This window comes from Homo sapiens, chromosome 14 (assembly GCF_000001405.40).
Source record: "Homo sapiens chromosome 14, GRCh38.p14 Primary Assembly".
NCBI classification, from domain to species: domain Eukaryota; kingdom Metazoa; phylum Chordata; class Mammalia; order Primates; family Hominidae; genus Homo; species Homo sapiens.
Window position 1 is genome coordinate 31,702,612 of NC_000014.9, and position 17,455 is coordinate 31,720,066.

Genomic DNA, 17,455 nt, shown 5'->3' on the forward strand with positions numbered 1-17,455 from the left:
CATACTGCAACTGAAACTTTCTAGTAATTAAAACTCAGAATTCCTTGAAAGTACAATTGACTCTGACTATAATATTCTCCAGCCAGAGAGGCTACTAGGATGGTTTTTTAAAAAATACTTTGAGGTCTACTAATTCTGTTATACCCCACATTCCTGTCACTCTTGGTAAGTGCCCAAATATTAGCCTCTCTGGTCATTAAAAAGAAAAAATTTTCATCTTTATGCTGTTTAGGACTTCCATTCTCCTAAACCTAAACATTTCTTCCTTTTCTTCCCCAATTTTTGTTTGGTGCTTCTGGTGCCCAATTTTGTACTACATAAATTCTCTTTAATATCTTTAACTAAAAACTGTGATTCCCTGCAGACAGTGCTTTTAATGAAGTCTTAAGTAGAGCTTGTTTTTTGACTCACTGTCTACTAGAGATTTAGGGTAAGATTTGGCATATTCCTTATTTGCTAGGGCAGCTTCTACTCTAATACTTATATTCTTATATTCTTTTTGCAGGAGGAGAAGTTTGTTAAAAAGCTTTAGAGCAGGAGGAAAGAAAGGAAAGTGCATTTGGAAGAGAGCCAAGTGAGCAACTTGAAGAATAAGTGCCCTGTTTAACCATGATCCTAGGACTTTATAAACTGGCATCTCGTGCCCCTTTCTCGTGATTCTTCCCTTAGGGTGGGCTGCCTGCATCCATAGTGCCCTTCTTACCCTTGGGAATTGAGCACACACAGTGTGTTTGGGAAATTGTACACATGCCCATCTGAGGCTTTCTTTCCTTTTCTGGTGGAGTGCCCCAGTAAGGTCATAATCCACCATTTTGCCTCTTAATGTGTGTATTAGTCTGTTTTCACACTGCTGATAAAGATGTACCTGAGACTGGGGAGAAACTTACAGATCCACATGCCTGGGGAGGCCTCACAATCATGGCAGAAGGCAAGGAGGAGCAAGTTACCTCTTACATGGATGGCCGCAGACAGAGAGCTTGTGCAGGGAAACTCCCAATTTTAAAACCATCAGATCTTGTGAGACTTATTCACTGTCTTGAGAACAGCATGGGAAAGACCCACTCCCGTGATTCAGTTATCTCCCACTGGGTCTCTCCCACAACATATGGGAATTATGGGAGCTACAAGATGAGATTTGGGCGGGGACACAGAGCCAAGCCATATCAATTTGCATGCCTGGGCTCAATCGCCCAATACCTGAGATTTTATTGGAAGCCTTTTTTGCTTCTCCTTGGTGCCTGCATTTAATTAACACTTTAACAGCTGTGGATCAACAGGAGATTGTCTCTGCCTGGCACAGCTGCCAAATTATCATTTTTAGAGAAGCAGTATGATAATTGTCCAGCCACCACCTGACATTCCTACTGGGTCGGCGAGAAGAGCCCTCTCCTGCCTTGCTCATGCCGGTCTAACTACCTGTAACATTTCCCTCCTCAAGAGCCCAAGACCACAAATCTTTGAGGAAAAATGGATGAAGATCAGTCTTCTGTAACTGCTTTCTGCTGACAGAGGGGTGGTGTTGGTTCTGTGAGTATTGGCCTCTTGCTAGCTCTCAGGGCAGGAGGGTGACTCTTTGGGTGGTAAAAGCAGTATCTATCCAGGTCCAAGGGAGACAGGGGCAGGATTTTGCCTTCTTCCTGTCCCACTGATGGACATTCTAGGGGTCCCCTTTAGAAGCCTGCCTCTTGGGTATTGAGAGAACAGTATCTCTCACTGAGGATTTTTATACTTATATTCTTTCTGATAGTCATAGTTACTGAAAGTATAATTGGCCAGGCATGGTGGCCCACGCCTGTAATCCCAGCACATTGGGAGGCCAAGGTGGGCAGATCACCTGAGGTCGGGAGTTTGAGACCAGCCTGAGCAACATGGAGAGACCCCGTCTCTACTAAAAATACAAAATTAGCCAGGCATGGTGGTGCATGCCTGTAATCCCAGCTACTCAGGAGGCTGAGACAGGAGAATCGCTTGAACCTGGGAGGCGGAGGTTGCTGTGAGCCAAGATCATGCCACTGCACTCCAGCTCTAGGCAACAAGAGCAAAACTCCATCTTAAAAAAAAAAAAGTGTAATCCTTCTCTCATTCTCTTCTTTGTTCACTTTTTTTCTCACTTGTTAAAGATGTTGGCACTTCCTGTTCCCTCTAGTTCTACCCACCACCTTGGATAACTTCAGAGTTCACATAGACAATAAACTTTAACATCCCAGTGTGTCTGGAATTGGTGGGTTCTTGGTCTCGCTGACTTCAAGAATGAAGCCGCGGACCCTTGTGCTGAGTGTTACAGTTCTTAAAGATGGTATGTCCGGAGTTTGTTCCTTCAGATGTTCAGATGTGTCCGGAGTTTCTTCCTTCTGGTGGGTTTGTGGTCTCGCTGACTTCAGGAGTGAAACTGCAGACCTTCGCGGTGAGTGTTACAGCTCTTAAAGGCAGTGTGTCTGGAGCTGTTTATTCCTTCCAGTGGGTTCGTGGTCTCACTGGCCTCAGGAGTGAAGCTGCAGACCTTTGTGGTGAGTGTTACAGTTCATAAAGGTGGCGCGTCCGGAGTTGTTTGTTACTCTCATCCGGAGTTGTTCGTCCCTCCTGGTGGGTTCATGGTCTCACTGCCTTCAGGAGTGAAGCTGCAGACCTTCATGGTGAGTGTTACAGCTCATAAAGGCGGTGCAGACCCAGAGTGAGCATCAGCAAGATTTATTGTGAAGAGTGAAAGAACAAAGCTTCCACAGCGTGGAAGGGGAACCGAGCGGGTCGCCGGCTGCTGGCTGGGGTGGCCTGCTTTTAATCCCTTATCTAGCCTCACCCACATCCTACTGATTGGTCCATTTTACAGAGAGCTGATTGGTCCATTTTATAGAGAGCTGATTGGTCCGTTTTGACAGAGTGCTGATTGGTGCATTTACAAACCTTTGGCTAGACACAGAGTGCTGATTGGTGCATTTACAATCCTTTAGCAAGACACAAAAGTTCTCCAAGTCCCCTACCCAATTAGCTAGACACAGAGTGCTGATTGGTGCGTTTACAAACCTTTAGCTAGACACAGAGTGCTGATTGGTGCATTTACAAACCTCTAGCTAGACACAGAGTGCTGATTGGTGCATTTACAAACCTTTAGCTAGACAGAAAAATTCTCCAGGTCCCCACCTGACCCAGAAGCCCAGACGGCTTCACCTCTCAATGGCAGTCGCCGTGGGACTTTGCACCACCTAGCCCGGGCACTCTGGCAGCCCAGAAGGAGCACATCCCCCGATCAAGCCCAGCAGGTGCTGGCTGGCCATGCCCAGTGCAGGGCCTGCCGAGCCTGTGCTCACCTGGAACCCGCACTGGCCTGCGAGTGCTGCACGAAGCCCCAGCTCCCACCCGTGCCTCTCCCTCCACACCTCCCCACAAGCAGAGGGAGTCAGCTCTGGTCTTGGCCAGCCCCAGGTAGGGGCCCCCATAGCGCATCGGCAGGCTGAAGGGCTCCTCGAGCACAGCCAGAGTGGACACCGAGGCTGAGGAGATGCCAAGAGTGAGCAAGGGCTGCTAGCACATTGTCACCTCTCAATCCCCCCTCTAAACAGGACACCCCAACTGCTGTTGGGAATTTGGCCGATGACCACTCTAGCTACTTCCTGCTGGATAGGGGCAAAGAAGGGGCCCTGCAGTTATAGTGTCCTCCAGAGGGGAGCTCTTTAGGCCAGTGGAAGGGCCAGCGGATCGGTCCAGGGGTCCTCGGTAGAAGTTGTTAGTTGAGCTCATTTGGGGTTCCATTTGTAAGATCATCAGTTGAGCTTGATGGCCTCAATTCTAGAGGAAACAAATTTGACAAGAAGGTTAAAAATACAGGGTCCAAAGGTGAGTAACAGCAAGATGGCTGCCATGGGACCTAGAAAGGGGAGAAGCCATGTTGCCCAACTCCAGAGGTTGGTATAAGAGTTTGAAAGGCGTTGTCTGATTTCAGAAGCCTTTTCCTGTAAATGCCGGGTGGCATCTTCTACTATCCCTTACTGGTTAGTGTAAAAACAACACTCTTCCCCTAAGAAGGTGCAGAGTCCTCTTTTCTCAGCAGCGAGGAGGTCTAGGCCTTGGTGGTTTTGGAGAGTCACTGCTGCCAAAGAGTCTATTTGGGATTGTAGAGTAAGGATAGATTTCATCACTTCCTGCAAATTGTCTGAGAAATCCTTTGAGAGTGTGTGGCAGTAGGATAATACATGTTACACTGTTAATTTTTAGTAAACCTTACTTTAGTTGAAAACCTTGTAAGTTTGGGATTTTAGTTTTTCTTTGCTGTTAATAAGACCTCATTCAGTCCATATTAACTTAAAATTGGTATAGATGGCTCCTTCCTGATTCTGTAAGTACTTTAAGGTTTGGCTGAGTGCAAACAGCTCACACGTTTGAGGAGACCAATTATTAGGCAATTTTCTTAACTCTGCTTCTATAAGAGTTTCATTTTCTCTTAGTGAATACCCATTGTGTCTTTTTTTCCTTAATCGCCTGGGAGGAACCATCTATCATCCTGTCCTGTAGGGAGTTCCTCCTAGATCTGGTCGGACCTTTGTATGGTAATTAAGATTTAGATGTCCTGTTAGGAAACCTGCTGGGTTAAGAATTTTTGATAGGAAGGCTACGGATTGTCAGTGGCCTCAGTGCTTTCGGGCTATGCCCTTGTTTACACTGACAACAAGGTGGTATTGGATTGTTATAGGGTTACAGGGAAGACCTTCAATTATCAATTGTGGGTTTTAAATTTACCCTGGCTTTTAAAGGAATAGGGTACACTGTTTTTTCTTTACTACTTCCATCTCTCTTTCTTTCTCTTTGACTTCTCCTTTGTCTCTCTCTTTCTCTCTTTCTGACTCCCTCTTTGTCTGTCTCTTCCTCTCTTTGTACTTCTTTCTTTGACTTTTTGTCTCTCTGGTTCTCTCCTTGATTAGAGTATAGAGGGGCCTGGCTATCTCGCTGTGTCCGGGGATCCATAGTCAGCAAACGCTGATGATTCCAGGGAACCCTTGCAACTGTTTTAATGTCTTAGGGTGAGGATAAGCCAGTATAGGCTGTATATGTTCCTTGCTGAGGGCCCTGGTCCCTCTAGCTAAGATTAGACCTAGATATTTGACCTGCTATAGGAAAAGCTGGGCCTTCGGCCTAAACACCTTGTACCCTTGATTAGCTAGAAAGTTCAAGAGATCTAGAGTAGCTTGCTGGCACGAGGCTTCTGAACTGGTAGCCAAAAGTAAATCATCCACGTACTGAAGGACCAGAGTGCCTGGACTTGAGAAGTAACCTAGATCTTGGGCCAGTGCCTGACCAAACAGATGAGGGCTATCCTTAAACCCTTGGGGCAAGACTGTCCACATAAGTTGGGACATGTGGTCTGTGGGATCCTCAAAGGCAAAAAGAAACTGGGAGTCAGAGTGCGGGGGAATACAGAAGAAGGCATCCTTGAGGTCCAGAACAGTGAACCATTCTGCTTCCTCTGGTATTTGAGAGAGCAGGATATAGGGGTTGGGTACAACTGGATATAGAGGAATTACTGCCTCATTGATGAGTCTAAGATCTTGGACTAGTCTCCACTGACTGTTTGGTTTTTGTACTCCTAGAATTGGGCTGTTGCAGGGACTGCTGCATTTCTTTACTAAGGCTTGAGCTTTTAAATATTTAACAATATCCTTTAATCCTTTATGAGCTTCAGGCCTTAAGGGATATTGCCTTTGATAAGGAAAAGTGGTGGGGTCTTTTAGCCTGATTTGGACTGGGTGGGCATTTTTTGCTTTTCCAAATTGTCCTTCCAATGCCCAGACTTCAGGGTTTATTCCCTCTTCAGGTAGGGGACAACAAATGGGTAACTTGTTCCCCATATTCATGTAGATAATAGCTCCAGCTTTGGCTAATGTATCCCTCTCTAATAAGGGTGTGGGACTTTCAGGCATAACAAGAAAGGCATGTGAAAAGAGAAAGTCTCCCAATTACGACTGAGGAGTTGGGAGAAATACCTGGTTACAGGCTGTCCCAGGATTCCTCAGATGGTAATGGACCTTGAGGACAGTCGTCCAGGACAGGAGATTAACAATGAGAAGGCTGCGCCAGTGTCTAGGAGGAAGTCAATTTCCTGGCCCTCAATGGTTAAAGGTACCTGGGGCTGAGTGAGGGTGATGACATGAGCTGGCGCTTGTTCCGGGCACCCTCAGTCCTGTTGTTGGATCATCTGGTTGGGGGCCTCTGACCCAGAGAACCTTTGTTCTCTGGGGCAGTGCACCTTCCAGTGATTGCCTTGGCATAGCAGACATGGACGAGGGGGCGGCTTGTTTCTCATTGGACAATCTTTTTTAAAGTGTCCTAGTAAACCACACTGATAAGCCCTACCGGGTGATTGGCCTGCTCCATTTTCTGTCCTCTCTGAACCACCAAGGTTTGTTTGTCTGAGGGCCATGACTAAGGCTGCGGTCTTTCTCTGATCTTGCTTTTCCTTTTGGGCCTGTTCCTCTTGGTCCCTGTTATAGAATACTGAGGTTGCCAGGTTTAATAATGTCTCCAAATTTTGTTTAGGGCCCAGGGCTTGCTTTTGGAACTTTCTCCTGATATCTGTGGCTGATTGGGTAATAAACTTATCTTTTAGAATCAATTGACCCTCAAGTGATTTGGTTGACAGGGGAGTATATTTTCTTAAGGCCTCCCATAGCCGCTCGAGGGAGGCAGAAGGATTTTCTTCCTTTCCCTGAGTTATGGTGGACATCATTGAATAATTCATGTACTTTTTCCTAATTCTCCTTAGTCCTTCTAGAACACAGGTCAACAGATGTTTGCAACTGCAGTCCCCATGATCTGAGTCAAGGTCCCAGTGGGGATCCATACTGGGGACAGCTTGCTGACCGTTAGGGATTTTGCCCCTTTCTTCAGCTGTCATTCTGTCATTTACTTGACTAAGATACCAAGTATCTCCAAACTCTTGGGCTGCAGCTAAAGCTGCATTCTTTTCATTAAAGGCCAGGGTTTGATCTAACAATAGCATGACATCTCTCCAAATGAGATAGAAGATTTGTCCTAGACCCTGTAGGACATTTATGTACCTATCAGGATCATCTGAAAAATTCCCCAGGTCTGCCTTGATCTGCTTTAAATCAGAGAGGGAGAAGGGGACATGTACCCAGGTTGGGCCAAATTCCCCTCCCCCTACAGCTTGAAGGGGACATAACCGATAGCCCAGGGGTTTTTGTTGTCCTTTGGAGATTTCTTCGCATATTTCCTTCTGGGCAGGGGAGATTAGAGGAGGATTATCGTTAATAGGACGGGGAGCTATAGGGAGGCTAGGATATGGGGGTAAGCTGATAGGTCCTCCTGTGGGATGTAAATGGCAAGCTTTGCATAGTTGTGTATTCTCCTTCAATGAAAAGAAAGCTTGGACATAACTTATTTCACTCCATTTGCCTTCCCTCTTACAGAAAAGGTCAAGCTGCAGGATAGTATTGTAATTTGTACTTCCCTCAGGTGGCCATTTTTCCCCATCAGAGAGAGAGTATTGGGGTCAGGCTGTAGCACAGAAAAAAAATGTGTCACCTCTTTTTCAGGGTTTATGGGTCAAATTGGTCCCAATGGCTTAGGATGCATTTCAAGGGTGAGCCTGTTGATGCCTGAGTGTTTCCTATCTGAATGACAAAACCGCCCGCAGATTTGGTTTGTTTGTTTCTCCCCCTGCCCAAGAACCTGCAATGGTCCCTGGACCCTGCTGATTGGAATAGTTGCACTCACCGATGCAGCAGCAGAAACAACCCCTGCCCAAGAACCCACAACAATCCCTGGACCCTGCTGATCGGAATAGTTGCGCTCACCAACGCAGCAGCAGAAACACTAGCTTTTCTCCCAGACCACAAGGAGGACTAAGGAAGGTCGGATTTAGTGACCCTTACTGACGCATTCTCGAAAACCTGCACCCTTTCCTGTCCTCCTAGACCACAAGGAGGACAGAGAAAAATCAGATTTAGTGGCTGTTACAGACGCATTCTCGAAAACCTGTTAGAGTCCTAAACATTCTCCTGTTAGTACTGGAACCTTACCCGTGTCCTATAAAGATGTTATGCCCCCAGAATGAAGTGGAGGGCCATACCCTGATGGAGGGAAGGGATCTCCAGGGTTGGAAGAGTGACACCTTTTGTCTTCACTTATATGAATAGGAAGGATACAATTTCTGAGGCTCCCCATATCCTAGCTTCAGGAATAGCTTTTGTTAGGCCTGCTTGTCTGAGGAGGGATCCTAAAATTCCGGATAGTTCCCCCTACAATGGGGCTTTGGGAAAAATTATGTCTTTCTGATTGGTGAGCCTGGGTGCCTAAAGAAGGAAATAGAGTCCTGGAGTTTATACTAGAAATCATTCTTATAGGAGAAACTAGAAAAGCACCAGAGACAGGGAGTGATTTTTAGAAGCAGGACTAACCTCGGAGAAGAGAGGTGAGGGGAAGTTTGTCTGACAGGCATTAGGACCCAGGAGGCAAGGGTCAGGATAGATAGGATAGATGGGTGAGTCTCGCTTGGGCGACATGCCTTTGAGGGTTCCGCTCATGGCCACAGGGTCAACCAACTTGTTGTTCGGACCCCGGAGCTGAATGGCTTTCCTCTCTGTCGACCCTTGGCTCGGCCCAGAAGTACAGGAAAAGTGGAAGCTGGTTCTAGGCAAACCAACGCTCCCAACTCCAAAGAGTCAGGGGATGTTAGAGAGCCCCTTCCCAGAAAGCCTGACACCCGTGTCTTTAGTCTGGTTGCCGCGCTAGTAGCTTTTAACTGGCCGACAGGTGCCCGGTATTTAGCCCCTGAATTCTAAGGAGAAACAGGACAGAATAGCAAGCAAAAGGGGTCCAGTGGTACTCACCGCTCGGCGATAGGTGATAGTCTTACTGCTTGGCAATAGGCGATAGTCTTACTGCTTGGCGATAGGTGATAGTCCCTTCGTGGTTGCAAAAATGTGTCTGGAATTGGTGGGTTCTTGGTCTCGCAGACTTCAAGAATGAAGCCGCAGACCCTCACGGTGAGTGTTACGGTTCTTAAAGATGGTGTGTCCAGAGTTTGGTCCTTCAGATGTTCAGATGTGTCCAGAGTTTCTTCCTTCTGGTGGGTTTTTGGTCTTGCTGACTTCAGGAGTGAAGTTGCAGACCTTCGCGGTGAGTGTTACAGCTCTTAAAGGCAGTGCGTCTGGAGTTGTTCATTCCTTCCGGTGGGTTCATGGTTTCGCTGGCCTCAGGAGTGAAGCTGAAGACCTTCGCGGTGGGTGTTACAGTTCATAAAGATGGCACATCCGGAGTTGTTTGTTCCTCCCGTCTGGAGTTGTTCATCCCTCCCAGTGGGTTCGTGGTCTCGCTGGCTTCAGGAGTGAAGCTGAAGACCTTCGCAGTGAGTGTTAGAGCTCGTAAAGGTGGTGCAGACCCAAAGAATGAGCATCAGCAAGATTTATTGTGAAGAGCAAAAGAACAAAGCTTCCACAGCATGGAAGGGGACCCGGAGCGGGTTGCTGGCTGCTGGCTGGGGTGGCCTGCTTTTATTCCCTTATCTGGCCCCACCCACATCCTACTGATTGGTCCATTTTACAGAGAGCTGATTGGTCCGTTTTGACAGAGCACTGATTGGTGCATTTACAAACTTTTAGCTAGACACAGAGCGCTGATTGGTGCATTTACAAACCTTTAGCTAGACAGAAAAGTTCTCCAGGTCACCACCCAACCCAGAAGCCCAGATGGCTTCACCAATGGTACTCGCCGCAGGACTTTGCAGCACCTAGCCCCGGCACTCTGGCAGCCCAGAGGGAGTTCGTCCCCTGATCAAGCCCAGCAGGCACTGGCTGGTTGCGCCCAGTGCGGGGCCTGTGGAGCCGTGCCCACCCAGAACCTGTGCCAGCCTGTGAGTGAGGCACGCAGCCCTGGCTCCCACCCATGCCTCTCCCTTCACACCTCCCTGCGAGCAGAGGGAGCCAGCTCCGGCCTCGGCCAGCCCCAGAGAGGGGCCCCCACAGCACAGTGGCGGGCTGAAGCGCTCCTCGAGTGCAGCCAGAGAGGATGCCGAGGCCAAGGGGGCACCAAGAGTGAGTGAGGGCTGGTAGCATGTTGTCACCTCTCACCAGTGTTACCAAAACATCAGGGGTTTGGTCTGGGTCCTGTGGCTCTCTGCACAGAAAACCAGTCACTGAGAGAATGAGTATTGCCAGGGAAGAAGGCTTTAATCACGTGCAGCAGCTGAGACAATGGGAGATCAGTCTCAAATCCATCTCCTTGACCAACTAAAATTGGGGGTTTATTATAGCAGGGAAGAAATGTAATTATGTGTGGGAAAACAGGAACTAGGGAGGGGTAAGGAAGAGGAACTGGTTAACGAGAAGCAGGTGACCACTTAGGAACATAGGAATTAGGGAGGGGTAAGGGAGCAACCTGATGGATGAAGGGTCTGCCATCTCATTGTCTGGATGTGGTGATCTGGTGAGTTTCAGTTCTTTGATACTTTTTGAGAAGGCTGAGGATCATTTCCTGAGAAAGGAACTTAAATAAGACAAACGTTAGTTTTAAGCTTTAAGACCAGAAGGGTCAATTTCTATATTTATTTTAAAAAACTACTGGGTTGGTTTCACTAGCCTTTTTAGTTTCTTCCCTTTCTCAACTTGAGTGCCCTTGAACTCCACTCTCATGGCACACCAGGAATTTTATCCCCTTGAAGTATTCATCTTAATTACCTTACCATAGTTTTTCGTCTTTGAGTTCTTTTATTAAGGCCATTATATGTCAGATTCCTTGACTGTTTCACTCTTTCTGTACCTTTCATTTTTTTCCTAACATGTTTATATATGGCACATTATGTCACTGGCTTGCTGATAATTTCAGCTCCTTCGTATCTTTCCCTTTCAGTTGTGCCACAAACCCATTGGTACATTCCTTTTACTCTAAACCCATAAACTCCAGTTTAGAATGGATTCAGCATTCGACTTTCTCTATTCTTACGCTTGGGCTGCTGGGTGCTGCTAGAGATGTCCTTTTAAGTGGCATGTGGATGGCACTATGAATTAATGATTTCTAGCCTTGCTCAACAACCCGTAGGAAATTTTTCTTCTATTTTTTTTCTCTCTTGCTTAGAAACCTGTTATTCTAGGCAGCCCTCTCTTTTATTCTCCGTAGGAACTATTTAAAATCTGCTTTGTTATTCTGAAGACCTCTGTCCTTCTACCTCTCCCTTTACTTTTAATGCATGATTCCATTTTCTGTTTCACAAAGAAAATTAAATTTATATGGTGCAAACTTTCTCAATTACCAGCCAGCCTCCTTAAAAATGTATCTGTATCTGAATTCATTCTTGCCCTCTTCCCTTCTGTATCTGGTTCTTAGTCTTTACTAACTCTTTTCCATCAGCATTTAAACATGCATGTGGAAGACAGTACTGATTGGCTATGTAGAAACTATTCCCAGCCCCTGTCTCTTTACTGCTTAAAAGTAGGTCTAGAAAGTCAAAAGATAATCTAGTTGCTCTTAGAGCTGAGTGTGGCCATGTGAACCAGTTCTAACCAATGAGACACAAGGAACAGTCTGTGGAGATAGCCTCTATGTAAGATGTTTTGCTTCCTAATAGAAAGGCAGGTTTTGTTCTTCCTCTTTCTTTGTAGGGAATATAAAGACATGATCAACTTGGCAGTGGTAGCCATTTTGTGGCAGAACAAGAAGATAGAAAGACCAAAGCCTTGGCCTTTGATGATATCTCTGAGACTTTGAAAAAAAAACAACAACTTAGTCTTTTTGCATCTCTGTGAAGGAATACCTGAAACTGGGTAATTTCTTAAGCAAAGAGGTTTAACTGGCTGATGGTTCTGCAGGGCATACAAAGAAGCATGGTGCCAGCATCTGCTTCTGGTGAGGGCCTCAGGAAGCTTACAATCGTGGTGGAAGGCAAAGGTGGGGAGCAGGCGCAGCACATGGTGACAGCAGAAGGAAGAGAGACAGGCGGGAGACCCCAGATTCTTCTAAACAACCAGATCTTGCGTGAACTAACCGAGCGAGAACTCACTTATCACCAAGAGGATGGTGCTGAGCCATTCATGAGGGAACTGCTGGCGTGATCCACTCACTTCCCATCAGGCCTCACTTCCAACATTGGGAATCACATTTCAGCATGAGATTTGGAGGGGAGAAACATCCACACCATACCACAAATAAAAAGTCCCAGAGTTGTCTACTTTCAGACTTTTTAAAAAAGTAAATAATAAATGCCCTAATAGTTTAAGCATTGTTAGGTTTTCTGTTACTTGCAGCTGCAGTCATCTTAAGTTATGATGTATAAGTTTTTCCCAGTTTTAAAAAACAACAAACGAGAAATAAGTAACACTGCCTTGACTCTATGACTTCCACTAAACACCAGCCTAAACTTTCTTCTCACTTAAGCCAAACTCTTCGAAAGAATTTACTAAATCAGTCTCTCACTCCCTCATCTACCATATACTTCTGTTTATATTCAGCTCTACCATGCTTTAGTCAGGGTTGGGTCACCAGAGATGCCTTTAAAAATTCCTGTATATACTTTTCAATTCTTATTTTAAATGATCTCTTTATACTATTTGATCTACTGATCGTAAAGTTTCCCTAATACTACATTCTCTTGTGGCGTCTACCTTTTATCCTCTCTTTCTCATTCTGCTTTATAGTTTCCCTTTTCTCTGCTCATTTCTTAAATATCAGTCCTTAACATGGGTATAATTATTCCACTTTTATAGGCTTAGAAACTAAATAAGCTAAGGTCATGTACAGTCATGTTTTGCTTAACAACATGGATATTTTCTGAGAAATTTGTCCATAGGCAATTTTGTCATTGTGCGAACATCATAGAGTGTACTTCCACAAACCTAGATAGTATAGCCTACCACACACCTAGGCTCTATATGGCATAGCCTATTGCTCCTAGGCTACAAAATTGAACAGCATGTTATTGTACTGAATACTATAGGGAATTGTAACACAATGGTAAATATTTGTGTATCTGAACATACCTAAACATAGGAAAGGTACAATAAAAATACAGTGTAAAATATGAAAAATGGTGCCCCTGTGTAGGGCACTTACCATGCATGGAGCTTGCAGGACTGAAAGTTGCTGTGGGTGAGTCAGTAAGTGAGTGGTGAGTGAATGTGATTGCCTAGAACATTGCTGTACACTACTGTAGACTTTATAAACATTGTACACTTAGGCTACACTAAATTTATTTAAAAAATTTTCTTTCTCTCAATTATAAATCTGCCTTAGCTTACTGTAACTTTATTACTTCATAAACTTTTTAAGTTGCAAAAAACGTTTTGACTCATAATATTTATACCACAAACACATTATACATCTGTACGGAAATATTTTCTTTCTTTACATCCTTTTTTCTGTAAGCTTTTTTTTTCTGTTAAAATTTTTTTTTCTTTTACTTAAAAAATTTTTTTTGGTCAAAAACTTAGACACAGACACTCATATTAGGCTAGGCCTACATGGGTCAGGATTAGCAGTATCATTGTCTTCCACCTCCACATCTTGTCCCACTGAAAGGTCTTCAGGGACAGTAACATGCATGAAGCTGTCATTTCCTATGATAACAATGCCTTCTTCTGGAATACCTTTTGAAGGACCTGCCTGAGTCTGTTTGACAGGTAACTTTGTTTTCTTAATAAGGGAAGGAATACACTCTATAGTAATGATAAAAAGTATACTGTAGTAAATAAACCAGTGACATGGTCCTTTATTATCATCATCACCATCACCCAGTATTATGTACTGTACCTAATTGTATATGTTACACTTTTATGTGACTGGCAGTGCAGTAGATTTGTTTATACCAGCATAACCACACTTATGAGTAATTTGTTGTGCTATGATGTTAAGACAGTTATGACTTTACAACAGCTATGATGTCACTAGGCAATAGGAATTTTTCAGCAGCTCCATTATAATCTTAAGGGACCATTGCCTATGTGGCCCATTATTGACCAAAATATCCTTCTCTGCACATAACTGTAATTAGTAAATGGTGCAGCCAACATTTGAACAGAGTCTAAAACCTCTGCAATTCATCTCTAGGAACCTTTTCTGATTTTGTGCTCATTCTGGGCAATGCCTAATGGAAAGCTCTGCTTGACTGTCCTATGGATATCTCAAAGTCCCAAAGTCCAGATTAGAATTCATCACTCATCTACCTGAAAGTCTTCCTTCTTTTCTTGTGACAGAGACTTAATGATTGACACTACCAACCACCTAGCTGCTCAGGCTAAAATCCTGAGTGTCACCCTTGACTCATCCTTCTTTCTTTCCCACTGTTTGTACTTATGGTGTTCATTTCTCCCATCTCTGCTGCTATCCTTCCCTACAATGTCCACCCTTTTCTGTTTTTTGGGAAAGCTGTAACAGACTCTTTACCTATATTCCTATATAATCTGAGATATTCTGACTAATCTTACTAAAATTCAGATCTCATCAAGTTACTTTCCTGATTTATACCCTTTTGTGGCACCTTGTTTTTTGGACAAAAGTTCAAAATCTAACCTAGGAAAAAGGTCCTTCTTTATCTAATCAGGGCACATTTTCCCACTTCTACTCTCTGTTCCAGCTGTCTTAAGCAGTTTGATATTCCTGAATTCACTTTGCTGTCTCTTGCTTCTGGGCCTTCCCTCCTGCTTTCCTGTCTTGCTGGAATACCCTGTTCTTAACTAACTCCATCTTATCCTTCATGTCTTAGCTTAGATGTTACTCCTTTGGGAAAGCCTTGTGTGGTAACCTCTCACTTCATATTAAGTGCTCTTGTGTTCTGCAGCATGTTGAAAGGGCCACACATTCTCTTGTCTCAGGGCCTTTATACATGCTGCTTCCTGTGCCTTCTTTTCCCTACCTCTACCTGGTTGCTATTCATTCCAGACAGTGCTCTGTGGTAGACCCACATTTTCCCCTATCATAGCAAGAAATTCTTCTCTTCACTTTGTGACATTTCAGACAGTTTTTATTGCATTCCTGTGTTTTAGAAATTTAGAATTTTGAAGCTTGCTTTTAATTTGTGGCTCCTTCACTCTTAATCTAAGCCTTAAAAAGAAACACCACTACCAAAACAACCCCAAGCCTGTTCCTTAGCTTTATGCTTCTCCAGGCAAGCTGACATTGCCTAACTCAAGAATCGATTTTGTGTCAGAAGTCAGCTGATGGTGTTTGTTTAAAAAAAAAAAATGGTATTTTCAGCTTTCGGCCCCGACTACTGAACCTGACAAGTTCTGACATCTCTTCTCTTGGCTGCCTCTCACTTTTTTTTCTGTTTCCATGGAAATGGACATCAGATCACAGAAACATAGTAAGATACTAGTGGCTAATTGCTGTTGCAGAATTCAAAATTCTTTTTGTTTGTGGAGTGATTATTTTGGTGACTCTTACCCACTGTGTAGTATGTGGTAGTTAGCCAAAACATCTAAGGCAATTTATGGGTTTGAGAGCTAGAAGATGCTTTCCAAGAGTCACTAACTGGTATCCTAAAATATATTCTCTTTTTTTATCTTTCACGGAAAACATATTTTAAGAACTATAATCTTGTCAGAGAAGAACATTAGATTTCAAGCCAGGAGATCCAGCCCTAGTCCCAGATCTGCTGCTATCTCACTGTTTGACCTCTGTCAATTTTGTTATATTTATTGAATGAACAATTGCTGCTACTTAGACTTGGGGCTGTTTACAAGTGTCCCAGGGAAAAGACTGTCTTTCTGCCAGTGTGCTTTAATAGCAAAGATAGAAATAAAATATATAACTAATCTTAGTTAAGAAAATCAAACCCAAGTTTCTAAACATCTAAATGGAAAAATGCTTTTAATCTCAGGCCTTTATTTTTTGCCTTCTGGAAAATGATCAGAATAAGATTCTGTCATATGGCCAGAAATGTTGGTGTAAGATTATATTTTTAATATACATGTGGTTTCTTAAGACAAGTACAGCCTATCTTACAGCAAAGTGATTAAAATTGTAGTAAAAAAATTCTATTAATTTTCCATTTAGTGAGGGGAGTTATTACATTACTTATATAATTTGTATTTTATTCAGATCCAGGATGTATGAGGAGTTGCCACAGTCATATACCTTTGTGTCAGGCTTATCTTTACTAGGTCAGGATTTCTTCATAAATCTAAATTTAGAACTTGGAAAGCCAGGTTTTGTTAAGTGCAAAAAGGGACTGGCATGTACATATAAAAAAGATTAGTGTTTGCTGAGCTGCTTCTTCAGCACGTAGTGTCTGCTCTATATCAAATGAACCTGAGTAATTGAAATTGAGTATGAACAGAATAAATCTCTTTTTTGCATGACTACACAGAATAAAATAGAGATGCATCTCAATTTATGATGAAGTTATGTCTCGATTAACCCATCGTTAAGTTGAAAATATCGTAAGTCAAAAATGCATTTAATACACCTAACCTACCAAAAATCACAGCTTAGCCTGGCCCACATTAAACGTGGTCTGAACACATACATTAGCCTACATTTGGGCAAAATGATATCCAAAAAGTGCTGGCAACACAGCACACTAAAGAATATGTGTTGTTTACCCTCATGACTGAATAGCTGGGAACTGATTTGTTGCTGCCGCCCTGCATCGCCAGAGAGTGTCATACTGCCTGTATGTCACCAGTCCAGGAAAAGATAAAGATTCAAAATTTGAAGTATAATTTCTACTGAATATGTATTGCTTTCATACCATCGTAAAGCCAAAAAATCATAAGTTGAGCCATTGTATGTGTGGGACAATCTGTATAGGTTTATACTGAACTCTCACTTATAATTGCAAGTATATAGACATAAGTCATACAGGTTAAGACATTATAAATAAATTAAATGGGAAATAATCCATTTTATACTTTATAATTCAGTCAGACATTCCTAAAGGAAAAAAAAAAAACTACCTTATTTAATTTGCTGTGAATTTAGTCTCCCATAAAGAACTGCACTAGACTTGGAGTCTGGTCCTGTCACTTCCCACAGTTTGTGAGACAGTTGCAGGCATCAGTAGATTCACCATAGGCCCCAGTGCTTTTAGGTGCATAGCATTAAAGCAAAAGTTTATTTTTGTAAATAAAAAAGTCTTATACTTGTGGTATAATTAGACAATAAGAAAAAAATATTCAAGAAAGAAATTATAATGGCCCATTACCCCATGATCAAAGTAAGCCACTATTAATTTTTTGGCATATTCTTTCAATTAAAAATATCTACCAGTGCATACAATGAGATCATGATAATGCTATACATGCTGCTTTTTAGCCAACTTACTTCATTATGCCATGTCATGAACATTTTACCCTGCTATTAATATTCTTTTAAAAATGATTTAAATAATGATATAGTATGCCATCTTGACTGATTTTATAATTTATTTAACTCTTAAGAGCTTATTGGATATTTAGATTGTTTACTTACATACAACATTGAGCAGGAGCCTATAAACTTTCTTTAATCCCTTTAG

The 17,455-nt window shown here is 43.2% G+C and overlaps 1 protein-coding gene across 12 annotated transcripts in view, besides 1 other annotated feature; it reads left to right on the plus strand.

Annotated features, from left to right (window-relative positions):
- NUBPL (NUBP iron-sulfur cluster assembly factor, mitochondrial) overlaps positions 1-17,455 on the plus strand; it is a 299,821-nt gene that overhangs the window by 141,208 nt on the left and 141,158 nt on the right. Inside the window, exons 8-9 of one of the 12 annotated variants that reach the window (XR_007064050.1) lie at positions 506-574; positions 1,439-2,206. The exons of 9 other annotated variants lie outside the window; for them this stretch is intronic. The gene's annotated coding sequence lies outside the window, so the exon portion shown is untranslated. Of the gene's footprint in view, positions 1-505; positions 2,207-11,957; positions 12,193-17,455 lie in introns of those variants that run through there. 2 more of the 12 variants (XM_011537183.3, NM_001201574.2) reach the window with 2 other exon arrangements.
- Positions 7,310-7,843: an enhancer, noted in NCBI's record as "NANOG hESC enhancer chr14:32179127-32179660 (GRCh37/hg19 assembly coordinates)". NCBI's record gives its function as "activates a minimal SCP1, AML or CMV promoter by ChIP-STARR-seq in naive H9 embryonic stem cells {active_cell/tissue: H9 hESC(naive)}" and the evidence as "EXISTENCE:reporter gene assay evidence [ECO:0000049][PMID:30033119]".